The sequence below is a fragment of the Homo sapiens genome, chromosome 6 (assembly GCF_000001405.40).
Source record: "Homo sapiens chromosome 6, GRCh38.p14 Primary Assembly".
NCBI classification, from domain to species: Eukaryota; Metazoa; Chordata; class Mammalia; order Primates; family Hominidae; genus Homo; species Homo sapiens.
Window position 1 is genome coordinate 138,371,095 of NC_000006.12, and position 13,853 is coordinate 138,384,947.

Here is a 13,853-nt window from a genome sequence, read left to right on the forward strand (position 1 = left end):
ATATGTAGAAACTTCTCCTCTCTGGTTAGCTTGACATGTGAGTAACATAGTGCCAAAAGAAAATCCTCAGGTTGCTTGAATCTGTCTATATAGTATAGTCCTGATAACACTTTTAGAAACACTGATGCGGAAATAGAGACAAAGTGATTCCCCTTTATTTTTTGCATATATAAAACTTCTGGCAAGGCACCATGGCTCATACCTGTAATCTCAGAACTTTTGGGGCCAAGGTGAGAGGACTGCTTGAGTCCAGAAATTTGAGAGCAGCCTGGGCAGCATGACAAAACTCTGTCTCTTCAAAAAATATGAAAATTAGCCAGATGCGGTGGCACACGCCTGTAGTCCCAGCTACTCGGGACGCTGAAGTGGGAGGATGGGTTAAGCCCAGGAGGTCAAGGCTGCAGTGAGCTGTGATTTTGTCACTGCACTCCAGCCTGGGTGACAGAGGGAGACGCTGTCTCATTTAAAAAAAAAAAAAAAAAATTAAGGCAGACGACCTTTGCCTTGTATTTTAGGTTAATTATTTATTCCTCCACAGACAAAAATATTTTTAAATTTTCTGTTCAAACTTCCAATTTCATAGATGCCTATACTTTTCCAAAGTAAATTTTATATCAATCATTTTTCTTTTTTCATCATCATTCTTGGTTGGTTTTTAAAAAATCACTCGTTTATCTTCCTCTTTCCGTCCATATTGCCAATGGATTTACTCAAACTCTTTGTTGCTTTCCTTCTAGATTATCATGGCCAAAGTTTAAGAAAAACAAAGACCAGATCTGTGACCCTTAGATGAACCCTGGGTCTCCGTGGAAGTCTGATCCAGGCAGGGTGATTAGTCACAGTACTGCTTGCAGTCTACTGATTAGTTTTTCTGTCACCCTAATCAAATATAAGCTTATTTAATTCTTATAACAGCATCTTGAGATAGTATAATGACCAGTTTACTAAAATTCAAATGCATTTGCTAATCTGGAAATTGAATGTAGGGGGGAAAAGCTACCTTTTTTGTAGTCATCTGGTTTACTTGAATCATCTCTGACCATTAGTTTTCTGGGGATTTTTCTCTATTATTGGCCCAGAGGGTGAAACGTATAACACAACAACAAACTTCCCTACAGCCAACAAACCCACAACCAATAAGACCAAAAAATGTAGAAGTGTCAGTAGTTCTTGAAAACATAATAGCAAATCAACTGTGTCAAGTTCAAGGAAATTAAGGAAGAAAAAAAAAACAAAACAAAACAGAGCAGCCAAATGGATGAAAACCTCAATTCATTTTCAAAAAAGAAAGAAGTAAAAGAATAAAGTAGAAAATATAAATACTATTCTATTCTCAGCTCTGAAATACCTAAAGAAGTTTTATAGATAGCTAATCTGATCTTCAGAAATTGTAGTCAGTGTTTGTAATTAACATCAGTCTATAAAAGTTCTGAACAGGAGAATATGAGATGGTTAAAAACTCATGGAAATAAAAGGAAGTGTTCTGTCTTTTAGTGTGAAAAATAAATAATTCATGAAAAACAAATGAGCATACGCTGTGGAGATCTAAAAAAAAAGACTGTGATCCTTAAAAATCTACAGATTTTAGAATTGAAATACAACAGCTTTCTAGAGTTGAAATATGACAGCATTTCTGTAAGCCATTATAGCAGGTAAAGGCTATTGGCTCTATAGGCTAAGCATGTCTTCATCAGCTGTAAGTCACAGCAGAGACCACTATTTCATGCCACTCCTCAGTGAGTCCTTTTGTAAGTCAGCTAACAATCTCCTAATTTACTTTTGAAATAACACAAAGCTGATTCAAATAACTCTGTAATATTGGATTAACCAATGTGCTGTGGGAATTCAGAGGAAATAGTGATTCATTCTAATTCAGGTGGAGGGCAGGAAATTACAGAATATTACCACAGGGTGGCTTTTATGCAGTTCTTCAAAGATAGGCAAATCTGACAACTATTGTCTTGCTTATGCAACACATATGCATAGAAAAATTACAAAATGTGGATCCTCAGAAATAAAATCCATAGTCCTATGGAAAACCCTAATTTCACTACTTAGAAAAAAAAGTGCTTCTATATGCAGATATGCAAATTTATAATAAACATGCAGTTTTCTCTGTGTGTGTGTGTGTGCATGTAGAGAGAGAGAGATGGGATCTCACTATATTGCCCAGGCAACACACCTGGCCTAAATATGCAGTTTCCTGACACATTTCTTATAATATGTTGTGAACATGTTTGCATCTTTCTTTCAGGTGATAATATATCCTTATATGTTTATATCTTAAATTAGCCAGATCTCATTTTGTAGACATTTTCTTTCCAGTTGTTTGTTGGTATAGACATGTAAGATGTGTTAAAATGTCTTTCAACAATATATATCTTTGAATACTTAGATTACATCTTTGAATATTCACATTATTATTATTATTTTATTTTAATTTTATTTGAGACACAGTCTTGCTCTGTAGCCCAGGCTGGAGTGCAGTGGCGTGATCTTGGCTCACTGCAACCTCTGCCTCCCAAGTTCAAGCTATTCTCCTGTCTCAGCCTCCCAAGTAGATGGGACTACAGGCGTGCCTGGCTAATTTTTGTATTTTTAGTAGAGATGGGGTTTCATCATGTTGGCCAGGCTGGTCTCGAACTCCTGACCTCATGGTCCGCCCACCTCAGCCTCCCAAAGTGCTGGGATTACAGACATGAGCCACCGCGCCCGGCCTATCAGATTATCTTTTAGGAGGAATCCCTAGAAGTGGATTTGCTGAGGGCTGACACCAGAGTTACCAATGTTCTCTTTTCTCTAAAATCTATTAACTTGTTCCGACTATATCACCTTCTTCATGACATGTCACTGTCCAGCTACTGCACCATTTCTCTGTTCCATTTTCAAGCAGAATAACCCTAGGTGTTTAAAGAATCTCCAATTCTTCTCCTTTCTCTCTTAAAATCATTCTAATCAGGCTTTCCCCCCAGCCACTCCATCAAAACTCCTCTTGTCCAAATAACCAACCATCATGCCCCCCCCCCACATATATACACATACTCACATTGTGTCAAATCCAATATGAAATCTCATTCATCATCTTACTTGATCAGACAGTAACTTTTGAGATAGATGATCATTTTCCTCTTCCAGATACATTTTCTCACTTGGATTCCAGGACACCACACACTCTTGGTTTCCCTTTCAGCTCACTGGACACTCACTTTGCCTCCTCATCCTATTGACCCACATTATCTGGGTGATCTCATTAAGTCTCCTAGCTTTAAAAACCATCTCCTTGCCTATAAGTTCCAACTAGTGTCTCTTGTCTAGTCCTCACCCTTAAACTAAAACACAAATATCCAAACTCATACACACTGAAAACTTACCATATCTATTAACAACTCCTGATCTTTATTCCTCCTGCTTTAAAAAACAAAACCCCACCCCAATCTTTCCCTTCTCTGTAAATAACAATGGCCATCCCTGCAGCTGCTCAAGCCTAAGACCTTAGAATTATTCTAAATCATTCTTTATCTTACACCACCTTCAGTTTTTCAAGAAATCTTATTGTCTCTATCCCTAAAACATATTTAGAATCTAGACTCTCACCACTTTTGATGCAGGATTTTTGACCCCTTTGCGGGACTCATGACAGGGGTGTCCATTTACTCAGCCCATCCCATTTGGTCCCTCGTGGGAGGGAGCATGTAGGCAAGCAAGTGCAGGAACTGGCCAGCCGCTTTAGTGCCAGCAGTACCAAACCTCAAGGCCCCAGAGGGTGTGTTACAATGATCTCTTAGCTCCACCATCTGCAGACAGCAGTGTGTTATCAGCTCAGTGGGCCCCTTTGCCTTGTCACATGGGGTGGCTGCCTTTCACCAGCAAGGGCAAAGGGCCAGTGTGACAGTCTTTTTGGGTACCTTCACTTGGTGGGTCCCGAATTCTTGTCTGGTGCCCAAGAAGAATGAGGTCATGCAGACCAAATGAAGGATGGGGAAAGTGAAGAATTTTATTGAGCAGTGAAAGTGGTTCTTAGTAAAGAGGGGAGCTGGAAAGGCAATGGGAAGGGCAGGTCACTCTCCCCTGAAGTCAAGTTGCCTCTCTTAACATCCAGCCATTGTCTCTGAAGTCAAGTGACCTCTCAATGTCCAGCTGTTTCTCCTCTTTACCAGTTGAGTCTCAGGTCTTTATAGGCACAGGATCAGGGGGAGCAGACCACAGGTAGTTTTGGAAAAGGCAATATTCGATTGGTAAAAAGACATTCTTCAGAAAGAACCAATCAGGAGAGAGCAGGCAAACAGGGAGAGAAGTTCTCACTTTGAGCGATGGGTTTCAGGTTTTTGGGCTTGAAGCTGGGGCTTTACAAGGGACCTACCCCTGTCTGCCTAGTTTCTCTGCCTCCTGTCTCCATCACTTTTACTGCTCCTACTCTGGTCTAGTATTCCTTTCCTGAATTATTAAGAGCCCCTAACTAGTCTCCCTGCATGTGCCCTTAATCCCTGTATCTAGTTACAACACAGAGGCCTGAGTGATCCTTTTAAAATGGAAGTCAGGGCCGGATGTGGTGGCTCATGCCTGTAATCCCAGCACTTTGGGAGGCTGAGGTGGACAGATCACGAAGTCAGGAGATCGAGACCATCCTGGCTAACACGGTGAAACCCCATCTCTACTAAAAATACAAAAAAATTAGCCAGGCATAGTGGCAGGTGCCTGTAGTCCCTGCTACTCAAGAGCCTGAGGCAAGAGAATGGCGTGAACCTGGGAGGCGGAGCTTGCAGTGAGCCGAGATTGTGCCACTGCACTCCAGCCTGGATGACAGAGCAAGACTCTGTCTCAAAAAAAAAAAAAAAAAAAAAAAAAGAAGTCAGATCTTACCACTCCTCTGCTCAAAACTCTGTATAGCTCCTCCATTTCGCCTAGAGTAAAAGCCAAAATTCTCCCAATGCTCTATAAACCCTGAACTCAATGTTACCTTCTGACCCCCAACAGATCCTCTCTGATTTCATCCTCTACTTTTTTCTCCTAGTTCACTGCTCCAGCCCACCCAGACCTACTAGCCATTTGGTGAAGGAACCATGCATGTGCCTGCTTCAGGGCCTTTGCACTGGCTGTTCCCTGTGTCTGCAATGTTTTTTCATCCAATATCTTCATAGCTTGGTCCCTTGCTGCCTTCAGGTCTTTGCTCAAATACCACTTTACCTCTGAGGTTCTAAGTGATGTCCTCTTTTCAAAGGGCCTCCTCCCTTCTATGCTTACTGTCCATTTTCTGCTTTTTTCCCATAATATATCTCTTCTTCTGATACTTTTTTTTATTTGTGCATTTGTTATTTTTTTCGACCCCAAAATGTATTCATAAGTGCAGGAATTTTTCTCTAATTTGTTCAATACTGGAAGAGAGTCAATGTTACAGATACGTATTTAATGCTTTTAATGCAGACCTCAATTTGCTTCTAAAGAAATGAAGGTACAGTGTTTAAATAAGTAGACAAGGTGGAGAAGGATGGCTCATGTTGAGGCCACAGTATTGACAAAGCCACTGAAATGCAAGAAAGCAAAATGGTGCGCTGGATGCCAGGTGTTTCTGATGTATCAAGGGTGGGATACAGGATCTACTTACAATAGGAACACATAAATGGAACAAGGCAATATTTTAATGGAAAGCACAAAATCAGCTTACTCCACAATAAGAAAGAAGAAGATGAAATGAAATGAAAAGAGTTCCACACGAGGATACTGACTGAGGTACTGGGACACTTAATGAAAACTTTCACCATAAAAAAGTTGACAAAGTACTAAATTCTGTTTGGGAGGGCAGCTGTCTTTGAAAAGGTAAGAAGTCTATGGCCATACCACCCTGAACGTGCTGGATCTCATCTGACAAAGTAATGAAAACTACGGCTTCTCCCAAGAAAATTGCACATATCTACAAAGTTTGGAGAGTCTACAACCTCCTGAAACCTATGCATGAACCACCACAGGCCAGTCATTAAGAATCTCAATCAAGATTAAAAAAAGAATCCTGGTTAAGAAATATTATTTCAGCATGATAATCACTTGTACAGAAATGATGCTTAGATAAGGATATGGGTGATTGTAACATTGAGTTATAACATTTTGCATAGATCTTTGTTTTTTTTTCTTTTTAAATTGCTCAGACTATTCTCTATAACAATTGTGCAATCTTTGAAGCTGAAGTTTATTCCACTAAAAGAGAATTCAACCACCATATCTTAAATAATATGTAGAATCAAGTATCCCAAAATCAACTCAGTGAACATTCAGATTGAAAACTCCTTGTTTTAAGCTTGATATCAATAACATTATGAAGTTCACAAGATAATCAGAAGGAAGACTATTTAGGTACTGGTAATTCGATTTTTTAAAAAATTGAAATTGGCAAACATTCCATCCAAACAATCTAAGCTATGGTCTGTCTTCTGTACAACTTTATCACTAGGCATCTTTCATCTGAATAATTCAGTAAAATATTAATAATGAGTCTTTGCTTTTCTACCAAATATCCCTTCTCTCTGTAAAACAGAATCCAGAAATAATTAGTGGGAAATTCAGCTTGAATAGTTTTCCTTGGTCAGATAGGTCTCTAGAGAGAGGTGTGGTAAGCAAAGGGAAAGGGTCTTGTTTACATCCTAAATATAAACAGCTCTTTATTCACTGAGGCCATTCTTTGCTCTGTAGTAATGCTGGTGCAGAAAACTCTCTTGTCTGAAATCTATTCCATATCTGATATCTGATGCCAACCCCTATAGTGATAAAGGCCACAGACACAAATCCAGAGGCACCGAATCTAAACAGTCAGTCCTGAGAGGTCTCTCTGGTTGGTTTCTTTCCCCTGTTGCCATTCATCAGAGGACGAGTTTACCAACAGCCATCAGCCAAGCACATCCAAACTGGATCCAGGCCAAGAGCAAGCAGCATTGTTGAAATCTGGGCAGCAAGGTGGAAGGGTGGCCAGGGCATCAGCTGGATGAAAACATGCGGGGACTGCTGGGCAGCAGCTGGAAGAAGTTTGGACATGCTGGCCGGGGGACATATGAGTGGTTAACCAGCGAGCCCGGCCTGCCTCTCCTGGAGACCCAGCTGCAGGTCTGTACTTATGACTTAAGTCTTTTCTTCCCCAAAGCATCTTCATCAGTTTTAAAATCCATAATATCTATGGTTTTAGGATCATAAAATGTAGTGGCAGCATTTTGTCTTACAGCTATAACAAAAATAGGAATTCACTGATTGGCATGGTCTAAAGGGGATAAATTGAAAGTTGCATTTTTTGGACAAGGATACATTCAAGTAAAACTTGGCACAACTATATCCTAGGAACACTTGATATCTGAAATATGTTGAAGAACACCTGAAAGCAGCAGTCAACAGAGGTGTTACAACAGAAATGCCTCAGTGTTATAACTTCGCTCTTTGCTCAGTAAGCAATGTCTACATATACAAAAATAAGAGCCTCTCTTTGGTCCTGGCTGTGTATTAACCACTGTTTTTAAGTGTTAGCAGAAACCATGCATCTTACTTCAGGTAAGACAGCAGGGGGTTAAAGAGATTTTGTCTCTCACTAAGAAATGCAGCAGCTGCTTTTGCTTTGTCTGGCAAATCACCAGTGCAGTCTCCGTAGGAAGCAGCACTAAGGACAAATATTTGTACAAACCTAAAACCTAAGAATTAATTTTATAATCAGAGGAGAAATGAGTGACACCGCCGACAACACAAGAAAGAAGGAAATCAAACTATTTTCTTGCTTTCTGGAAAACCAACTGGTGAGATTAGTATTTAAGTTCTCCAAAACCACATTTTACAGAAAAAAATACATAAATATATATTGATGTGGATATTGAGAAATCCTTTAGCAGTTACACCTGTAATTGGACATTTCTTTAAAACATCCCCGAACAACAAATGCCTTTAGCCAATATAAACATCAGAAAAACATTAAAAGTTAAAAAATAACTTTGAGGCGGGTAAGCAAATTAGGATATTTGACTAAAAAAGACATCCTTTCCACATTTAAAAAAAATCCAACAATTCTAAGTAATATAACATAAATAATTAAATAAGCAAATTAAGGATACTGTAATGAATTTGTCTGATAGCACTGGGCCTCTCTTAACTGGAAAACTCCTTTGTCTCAAGAAATTGTACTAGTTTGCTGTATAAAAGTCTTCTAATGCCACTTGCTATGTGGACAAATTTAACTCAGCCAACGGAATAACTGATTACAGCAGGGACTGTGGTATTTCTCCTTTCTCAAATTTTTGCAACTAGTATTGAGAATACCTTAAGTAGCATAATTATAAACAAAGGGTCTATTACATAAAACCTTTTAAATAGAACATTAAGTATCTGTATATTCTATGCATACTGACTTTCTATGATATAATAGAGAATTTAAAATTTATGGCCACAACTGATCAGAAACTGTTATCATCCATATTATTGATAGAGAATGAAATAAAAATAGATTATGAGAAATGGTCCATGCTTATCAGGGTTTAAGTATTAAAAGAGATAATAGCCAAAGCTATTATTGAATTATTAAGCTAGTATAAGCTATTAAGCTATTATTTAATCATTAAAAATGTTAAAACTTTTTTGGTGATTCATCTAGAAAGAAAAAGCAAATTATAGTTAAAATGTTCTTACTCCAACTTGATTTCTTAATAATTATAGCAAATTTATGAGTTCATCTACTCTTACAGTCTTTGTAATCAAAGTCCTTATTATGTCACAACAGATTTTAAGTTAATAATTCTGATATCAAATTAGATTTTATGTAAGAAAACCGAAGGAATTTATAGTTTAGAAATTTAACAATCGCATACATAAAACATAAGAGACTTTTTCTGAAAATATGTATTTATTAAAATATAAATTTAGTTATGCCAGATTTTATCTTCTAGCCGCACCAATAAATTTCTAGATTTCTCTGATTATCTTTAGTATTTTAGGTTTAGTAAACTTGACTGCTCGAGTCACTGAGATATAAATATATAAGTACTATCACCAAGTGCTTTACACACTTTAATTCATTTACTTCTCATGCTAACCCTTGAAAACGGATGTTATTAATTCCATTTTATAGAAGAGAAAGCCTAGGCCCAGAGAAGGCAAGTGAACAGTCCATAGTCACACAGTGTTAGAACATTATAGGAATTCAAACACAGAGCTGTCAACCCCCAAAGATGATGCTCTGCTTCTCAAGAACACTATTTTTATGTTCTTTAAGCTAAAATATCTTAATTCATATCTTACCAAGGACAAAATATCTGGAAATATAAGTATTAAATAAACCATCTAATTTCAAGTCAAAACCACACACATAGTTATAAAGTCTTTAGGGAATAACAAAAGATTATACAAACATCTAGCATTATAAAATGCTGGCTAGGGCGGGGCGCAGTGGCTCATGCCTGTAATCCCAGCACTTTGGGAGGCTGAGGTGGGCGGATCATGAGGTCAGGAGATCGAGACCATCCTGGCTAACACGGTGAAACCCCGTCTGTACTAAAAATACAAAAAATTAGCCGGGTGTGGTGGCGGGTGCCTGTAGTCCCAGCTACTTGGGAGGCTGAGGCAGGAGAATGGCGTGAACCTGGGAAGCAGAGCTTGCAGTGAGCCGAGATCGCACCACTGCACTCTAGTCTGGGCGACAGAGCGAGACCCCGTCTCTAAATAAATAAATACATAAATAAATGCAGGCTAGATAAACCAGTCTCCTAAGAGGTAATGACCTGCAAAACATGTGTCCTTTCCACCAAAATCAAGGAGTGAACCTCATCTCTCATAGTTTATGAGGGTTTTTTTTGTGTGTGTTTTTTTTTTTGAGACGGAGTCTCACTTTGTTGTCCAGGACGGAGTGAAGTGGCACAATCTCGGCTCACTGCAAGCTCTGCCTCCTGGGTTCAAATGATTCTCTTGCCTCAGCCTCCCCAGTAGCTAGGATTACAGGTGCCCACCACCACGCCCTGCTAATTTTTTTTGTACTTTTAGTAGAGACGGGGTTTTACCATGTTGGCCAGGCTGGTTCCAAACTCCTGACCTCCAGTGATCCTCCCACCTCAGCCTCCCGAAGTCCTGGGATTACAGGCATGAGCCACTGAGCCTGGCCTAGGTTTTCTTTTAAATAAGCAAGGAGCTTAATATTCTGTTTGCTTATTTTAAACATAATTACAAGGCTTTAAAATATTTTATTTTCCTCCATAGTAGATACTAACATTTACACTTGTTACTATATGCTTTATAAAAGAGAGAAACTTTTTAATACTTCGTTATTTCTTAGTAGCCTTATTAAAGGCAGTCTCTGTGCAATTAGGAACAGTATTTTTTTTTAACGTTGCTTTTCTACTTTGCTGTTTAAGCATCATTTCATGCCTATTGTATTATTTATGCCATCAGGAGCCATTATAATTTCTGTGAGCTAATATTATAAAATCGATACCTTTTAGGTTGCCCAAGAATTTATCTGTAATTCTTTGTCTTTAAAAAGGTAAAATGTTTTCATATTTATCCTACAAGTTTTACAAAAACAAATTTAAAGAATTTAAAAAATCTCATTCATCATACGCACCATCAAATCCAAATTCAGTTATTTACATTTGACATGCATGTAATATTTACATGTGCTATGAACACATAATGAGATTTTGTTCCAGAATTAAAGAACTTAAGTGAGTCCCACATGATCTGTTAGTGGCAATAAATCATAATTGGTCTCATTCTAAATAAAATAAGTACATAAATAGTAAGAATTTTCTTTCAAGAAAATGAACAGCGGACCTACTAACTAAAATTTATTTCAATATTTTTACTTCGTGGAAATTTTGTAAGATCTCATCAACATATACTTTTTGACATATACTTTTCTGAATTCACACTTTATTGTGTAAATTAATATTATTTCATATAGGCTTAAGCTCACTGGCATAAGTAAATGATAGTGATTTTTTAGAATGAGTAATAATGGAAAAAAGAACGAAAGATGAGAGGGAACTTCAGGGCCTTAGAAATGTGAGGCCTTGGCCGGGTGCTGTGGCTCACGCCTGTAATCCCAGCACTTTGGGAGGCCAAGGGAGGTGAATCACTTGAGGTCAGGAGTTTGAGACCAGTCTGGCCAACATGATGAAACCCTGTCTCTACTAAAAATACAAAAATTAGCCGGGCGTGGTGGCGCATGCCTGTAATGCCAGCTACTCGGGAGGCTGAGGCAGGAGAATTGCTTGAACCCTGGGGACAGAGGTTGCAGTGAGCCAAGATTGCGCCATCGCACTCCAGCCTGGGTGACGGAGCAAGACTGTGTCTCAAAAAAAAAAAAAAAAAAAAAGAAAGAAAGAAAGAAAAAAAAAAAAAGAAATGCGAGGCCTTCTTTCCACATTTCCTAACTAGGCTTCCTTCCCTAACTCCAGGGCACCCAGGGGGTGAGCTCCACCCAGGAGGATGTGGAGCCCTTCCTGTGCATCCTTCTGCCGGCCACCATCCTGCTCTTCCTGGCATTTCTGCTGCTGTTCCTGTACCGCCGCTGCAAGTCCCCACCGCCCCAGGGGCAGGTGTTCAGCATTGACCTACCAGAGCACCCACCTGCAGGAGAGGTGACAGACCTCCTGCCCGGCCTGGCCTGGAGCAGTGAGGACTTCCCCTACTCCCCACTGCCCCCGGAGGCCACTCTCCCCTCCCAGTGTTTACCGCCCTCCTACGAAGAGGCCACCAGAAATCCTCCTGGGGAGGAGGCCCAGGGATGCAGTCCTTCAGTATGAAAAGGGCTCACCTGGACTGGAAGAGCAAAAATAAACTGCTCTTGGGAATCATACAAAACACAGCTCTCCACCTTTAATACAGCACCCATGAGAAGAGGGAGAAGGGCCCCTAGACCCAAGAAGCTGCTATTCATTGGCCAACCTCTGACAATGGGGCACTTCAGGCTGAGGGCAAAGCTTGGCAAATGCCAATCTGGTTAACCTATCTTCACATTCCTTAGGGGAAAGTTTCCCAGGTTCTTCTAAAGATGACTGCACTCTCCTAAAATGTATAACACTCCTGAGAAAAAAAGGAAAGTTCTATGTGAGTTGAAAAAAAAAAAAACACTTAATTACTAATGAGCACAGGAACAGGCTCTGAAGGGCAAGAAAAAAAACTCTGGACCAGCCAAAGGTAACTACTTTTGCCACCAAATAGAACTTTTCTTCCCACACCAGTTTTTCAGGGTTTCATGGTTTGTTTCACTTCTGTATGAATGCTCCAAGATATAGAGAGTTCTAGCAGGAGTAAAAGACATCTCTAGAACTGCAGGGGATAGTTGTGTTGTAAATAATGGTGAAATATATTACAATATTAGCAATGAAAGTATAGATATTCGCAAACATTTTAGTTAAAAAATAATAATAAAGCTGTCCAAAGTTATCTTCTTTGTAGTGTCACCTTGCTTATTTGTCTTCTGATTTGCTTCCTTGAATGGGGGAGGGATGTGGCTTAGTGACATGGGATTGTCTCACACTAGGATATTATGGGTCATCTGACAGTGCTGTGGCAAAAGAGAGAGCTTCTGCTATAACACATTATCTTATTAGACATCACTTTTATTATATAACACTACCATGTAATAAGTCACGTATAGCACTGTGACTGAATTTGTAGGCTTCACCAAGCAACAATGACAGCAGAAATCAGGTTAACATTGGAAAGGAAAGGTCAATATTTTGGATTACACGGTAAAGAAAAAACCATTAGTTCCAATAGGGACCTTATAGCCACATAGTTCAAATTCTTGCTTTATAGACATCAAAGCTAGAGCTTAGAGAGGTTAAGTGACTTGCCCAACGTAACATACCTTGTAAGAGGCAGAGCCAAGAACAGAAGCCTGGCCTCTCTGTCCTGGGCAGAAGCATCTTCCACTGTGCCAGATGTTATCCCCAGAAAATTGCAAAGGTCGAATTTCAGCCCAGGCTCCTGGAGGATCAGGGCTCTCAGAAGGATTAGCACAGTTGAGAGTGGAATTGATATTGATACAAGATCTCCCTCTGAGATTTTTCTTTTTCTTTCTTGAGACAGGGTCTTGCTCTGTCACCCAGGCTGGAGTGCAGTGGCACAAATACGGCTAACTGCTGCCTTGACCTCCTGGGCTCAAGTGATCCTCCCACTTCAGCCCCCTGAGAGGCTGGGACCATAGGTGTGCACCACCATGCCCAGCTAATTTTTATTTTATTTTTTTTTATAGAGACAGGATCTTGCCTTCTTGCCCAGGCTAGTCTTAAACTCTTAGGCTCAAGCAGTCCTCCCGTCTCAGCCTCCCAAAGCGCTAGAATTACAGGTGCGAGCCACCAAGCCTGGCCTCCTCAGTGATTTTTCAAATAAGGAGACATAGGTGGGTATTACCACTTGGGAGGTACATCAAAATACCCATGGAGGTGACAAGGGAAAGCAGGAAGTGACATGTATAGTCTTAAACTCTTATTCAATGCTAGAATATTTTTGAAAACAATTTTTATTATTTTCACAATGCAAAATTCAAAACTAGACATTGTTTGATGGTTCAAAATGAACAAAAAATGGTGGCTTAAAGAAATCATTTTGGGGCCAGGCATGGTGGCTCACGCCTGTAATTCTGGCATTTGGGGAGGCTGAGGTGGGAGGATCTTCTGCCTGGACAACACAGTGAGACACCATTTCTCCAAAAAAAAAAAAAAAAATTCGCCAGGTGTGGTGGTGCATACCTGTGGTCTCACCTAGTTGAGAGGCTGAGGTGGAAGGATTGCTTGGGCCCAGGATGTTGAAGCTGCAGTGGGCTGTGATCGTGTCATTGCACTCCAGTGTGGGTGACAGAACTAGACCCTGTCTCAAAAAAGTCATTTTAGCATGAA

The 13,853-nt window shown here is 39.7% G+C and overlaps 1 protein-coding gene across 1 annotated transcript, besides 1 other annotated feature; it reads left to right on the forward strand.

Annotated features, from left to right (window-relative positions):
• Positions 6,510 to 7,014: an enhancer, noted in NCBI's record as "H3K4me1 hESC enhancer chr6:138698741-138699245 (GRCh37/hg19 assembly coordinates)". NCBI's record gives its function as "activates a minimal SCP1, AML or CMV promoter by ChIP-STARR-seq in naive H9 embryonic stem cells {active_cell/tissue: H9 hESC(naive)}" and the evidence as "EXISTENCE:reporter gene assay evidence [ECO:0000049][PMID:30033119]".
• Positions 6,811 to 12,392, forward strand: SMIM28 (small integral membrane protein 28). The gene is made up of 2 exons (NM_001368163.3): positions 6,811 to 7,089; positions 11,406 to 12,392. The coding sequence occupies exons 1-2, from the start codon at positions 6,979 to 6,981 to the stop codon at positions 11,751 to 11,753; spliced, it is 459 nt and encodes a 152-aa protein (NP_001355092.1). The 5' UTR covers positions 6,811 to 6,978; the 3' UTR covers positions 11,754 to 12,392.
• The last annotated feature ends 1,461 nt before the right edge of the window (positions 12,393 to 13,853 follow it).

Bases quoted from the DNA above. Each gene is read 5' to 3' on its own strand.
- SMIM28 (NM_001368163.3), top strand. From the start codon at position 6,979: ATGCGGGGACTGCTGGGCAGCAGCTGGAAGAAGTTTGGACATGCTGGC. The intron at 7,090-11,405 runs GTCTGTACTTAT...CCCTAACTCCAG, and splicing joins TCCTGGAGACCCAGCTGCAG to GGCACCCAGGGGGTGAGCTC.